This window comes from Homo sapiens, chromosome X, assembly GCF_000001405.40.
Source record: "Homo sapiens chromosome X, GRCh38.p14 Primary Assembly".
NCBI lineage: Eukaryota > Metazoa > Chordata > Mammalia > Primates > Hominidae > Homo > Homo sapiens.
The window spans coordinates 90,188,016-90,192,376 of NC_000023.11; the positions used below are offsets into that span (position 1 = coordinate 90,188,016).

At 35.9% G+C, this 4,361-nt stretch overlaps 1 annotated feature.

The window, feature by feature from the left end:
• Positions 842-1,677: an enhancer, noted in NCBI's record as "OCT4-NANOG hESC enhancer chrX:89443856-89444691 (GRCh37/hg19 assembly coordinates)". NCBI's record gives its function as "activates a minimal SCP1, AML or CMV promoter by ChIP-STARR-seq in primed H9 embryonic stem cells {active_cell/tissue: H9 hESC(primed)}" and the evidence as "EXISTENCE:reporter gene assay evidence [ECO:0000049][PMID:30033119]".

The window sequence follows — 4,361 nt, forward strand, 5'->3', positions numbered from 1 at the left end:
CTCAAGCTTATTACATTTAAACTGTAATTTTTTTCTGAGATTGTTTTCATTAGTAATTATAATTGATCTTTACAAATTAATTTTTCTGAAAATAATAGGGGTAGAAATTTGAAAATCACTAAGAAAAAATGATAGTAGTTGAGAAGTAGTATTTCAATGACTGTGTAACTTTGGAAACAAAATACAACCTTATCAGTTAGGAGCTATATTCGCAATGGCACAACTCATGAGGTGTGATGAACTGTTAATTAGATTCAAGTTGCATAAATATCCACACAACTGAGTGCAAAACTCCATGATGATATGTAGCATTGGTTTTATAATTGTGAGACGACTGGAGACAGGAATGGTCTGAGATAAGTAAGCTAATATGCCTTGAGATTGCCTCTGTATCGATTTTCACTCATCTCTAACAGCCGTTTTTCTAGTTTACATCTAAACAGGAATGTTTGTAATCTACATGTTTAAGCTAAAGACTTGCCTTAAAAATCTTCCTGTCTGTACTGACAGTACACACAGATCTAACAGAACTGTCAATTTAATGTTAATGCTTTGTTTGACAGGTGGCTAGAATCCTTAAATTTTACTTCATGCTGAATAAGTGAAAGAGAGTAATGCATGAAAATCAGGCATGTGTCTTCTATTATTAAGTTATAAAAATGAAACACTCTATTTCCCAAAAAGTAAAAATATTTACAAAATAGTACATATTTTTTAGAGATTTTTTGCCATCACAATAAAATCTGTTATGACCATTTGCCTCTCTCTGTTCTGCTGTTCTATTTAATTTCAAAGTTACATATGACATATTTTCTTCAATTTCATATTACTCCTGCCTATAATATCATCAATTTCATGTACTTGCTTACCTTCTTTAGTCTACGTTCAGCTTTGGATCAGCTAAACAAGATTCCAGTAAATGTCTTTCTGTGCTAACACAACACTACAGACTGTGGATACAAACAGGACTAAAAAAAATTTGCTGCCCTTCAGAGATTCACATTCTTTAAGGAACACCAGGCAAGCAACAATTAAGGAACACCAGGCAAGCAACAAATAAATAAAGTGCACTGTGATTCATATGATAATTTACTAATTTTCAAGATACAGAAATGAGAGAAAGGTAATTAATTGTGATGGGAAAGGGGAGGCACAGGAAGGTTTTACATAGGATTTGGAACCTTATTTGAATTTTGAAGACAGAATGGGTGTTTTCTTAGCAGAGGAAAGATGAAGGGAATTTCAATCCTAGAGATTTCCAAGTGAAAAGGCAATGAAGGTAAGAATAACAGGAGTGCTTAAGGCAAAACAATGACCTTGCATTCTCTTAAATGGAAAATGTGAATACAAGAGCAGCAGGAGAAAATACTGAAGAATTCATCAGACTTTGAAAGCTTTTTCCTGACATCCTTAGGCACTTGAAATATTTAAGAATGGTGTTATTATTTTCCCTACGAATTGCTTCTTTATCATTGTCTTGCTCTTGAGTTTAGGTATTTTATATACATACATATACATAAAAGGAATCTATTTCCTTTTATTAACCTTCTACAGGTTATTAATTAAAAAACTACAGTTAAACACAGTTTCTGCCTTTCGTCAAAGTATTGGTAATGTCATATTCATTCACCAAATTTCAAATTTTTTAAACACAAAATTTCTTTTTATTTATTAATAATACTAAAAAATTAACTGCAGGAAATAAGAATAAAAGTGGCTCTAAATAAAACTTTCTACTACCTTCTTCTCCACTGTGACTGTCATCCTAAGGAACAAACAGAAGAAAGCCTTTTCCAATTCTAAGACTAGGCACTGAATCCTTGATGTGATAGTTTAATCAACATACCACTATATTATATTTCCATTCCTCCCTTTTATATTACATGTAAAGTATCTCACTAAAAAAGTAAAGTCCTGAAAGGACACAGAAAATTTCTGGATGTTTTCAATGTGTGTTGTTGATTCCTAATTATGGTGATTAGAAATATTGCCAAACTTTTTAGGTATTGACCTCCAATTTTCCACTCTCAATTCTCCACATTAAAAGAGCCTATTGTAGATAATTAGGTAATTGGCAATTAGGCACACAGTTATTGTACTCAGGTGATTATCTAAAAGAGAATTAGGCATGCAATGGATATATTTTGGCACAAATATTGAGTTTGTGTAAGCAAATGTCTTTACAGAATGCATGGATTGTTGTTAATCACAAATCTTAAGATCAAATTGAGTTTGTATCTGCTGGTGAATTAATAGATTTAGTCATGGGCCAATGTGTGCTAATATCATAGAAAGAAAGGCAACTAATCAGGCTTGTCACAATGGCTCATGCCTGTAATTTCAGCACTTTGGGAGGTCAAGGCAGGAGGATCTCTTGAGCCCAGGAGTTCAAGACTAGCTTGGGTAACATAGTGAGATCTTGTCTATACAAAAAATTAAAAATTAGCCAGGAGTAGTGGCACATGCATGTCATCCCAACTACTGGGGAGGCTGAGGTGGAAGGATTGCTTGAGCCCAGGAGGTTGAGGCTGCAGTGAGCTGTGATCACACCTCTGCCCTCTAGCTCGAGTGACAGAGTGAGACCTTGTCTCAAAAAGAAGAAAGAAAAAGGAAGGAAGGAAGGAAGGGAAAGAGAGAGAGAGAAAGAAAGAAAGAAAAGAAAGAAAGGAAAAGAAAAGAGAAGAAGAAAAGAAAAGGAAAAGGAAAAGAAAAGAAAAGAAAGAAGAAAGAAAGAAAGAAAGAAAGAAAGAAAGAAAGAAAGAAAGAAAGAAAGAAAGAAAGAAAGAAAATGAACAACTAACAAGACACCAGTGCCTTTATATGACAATAAAATCTATGGGGTAATTTTTTTCCCTCCCCTCCCCTGCCTACCCCAAATCAAAATTTTTAAATCTGATCAAGCCTCTGGGTCCAACTATCCATTTACAGGAACTAAAGGACAGAGGAACATAATAAACACCACCACAGAGATGTAATCAGACCATGGGAATCTATACCACAAACATAATATATATTCTTTTTTTTTTTTTTTTTTTTGAGATGGGGTCTTGCTCTGTCAACCAGGCTGTAATGCAATGGCAGAATCTTGGCTCCCTGCAAACTTGAACTCCTGTACTCAAGCAATCTTCCCACTCCAGCTTCCCGAGTAGCTGGGACTACAGGTGTGCACCACCACACCCAGCTAATTTTTTAATTTTTTGTAGAAACAGTGTCTCACTATGTTGCCCAGGCTGGTGATCTATATTTTTTACAAAGTGTCATGAAAAAATATTAATGGAGAACCTGTGGATTAAAAGAGGCTTAAGAGACATATGCATTGCAACTACATTATTTTGATATTTTGACCATTACTCAAAATACATTCACTGAAGTGTGTGTGTGTGCATGCGTGTGTGTGTGTGTGTCTGTGTGTGGTGAGGAAGAGAGAGAGAAATTGGCTGGGCGTGGTGGCTCACGCCTGTAATCCCAGCACTTTGGGAGGCTGAGGCAGGCAGATCATGAGGTCAGGAGATTGAGACCATCCTGGCTAACACGGTGAAACCCCGTCTCTACTAAAAATACAAAAAAATTAGCCAAGCATGGTGGCGGGTGCCTGTAGTCCCAGCTACCTGGGAGGCTGAGGCAGGAGAATGGCGTGAACTGAGGAGGCAGAGCTTGCAGTAAGCCAAGATCGCGCCACTGCACTCCAGCCAGGGTGACAGAGTGAGACTCCATCTCAAAAAAAAAAAAAAAAGAGAGAAATTTTGGGGACAGTGGAAATTTGAACACTGACTAGATAATTAATGAAAAGGAAATATTGTTAGTTTTTAGGTGTGATAATAGCATTGTGTTATGATTTTTTAAAGATTCCTTCCTTTTTTTAACTTTTTGTCTTGAAATAATTACAGATGCATAGGAAGTTGCTAAAACAGTAAAGTTTCCATGTATCCTTAAGTTTCACTGAATGTTAGCATTATAAATAACTGTAGTAAATTATTAAATCCAGGAAATTGAAATTGGTACAATCACCAGCCTTATTCAGATGTCATCAGTTTTATATGCATTTGTGTGTATGGGTGTGTATTTAGTTCATGTAATTTTAGCATATGTGTAGATTTGTATGACCACAACCACAATCCAGATGAAGAAGTGTTTCAACACCTCAAGGATCCCTGCTACTGCTCTTTTATTGTATTTGTAGTTATTTAATTATTTATTTAGAGTCAGGATCTCACTCTGTCTCTCAGGCTGGAGTGCAGTGGTGCTATTACGGCTCACTGCAGCCTCAACCTCTGGGCCCAAGAAATCCTTCCATCTCAATCTCCAAAAGTGCTGGGATTATAGGTGTGAGATACCATACTCAGCCCACCCTTTTATAATAA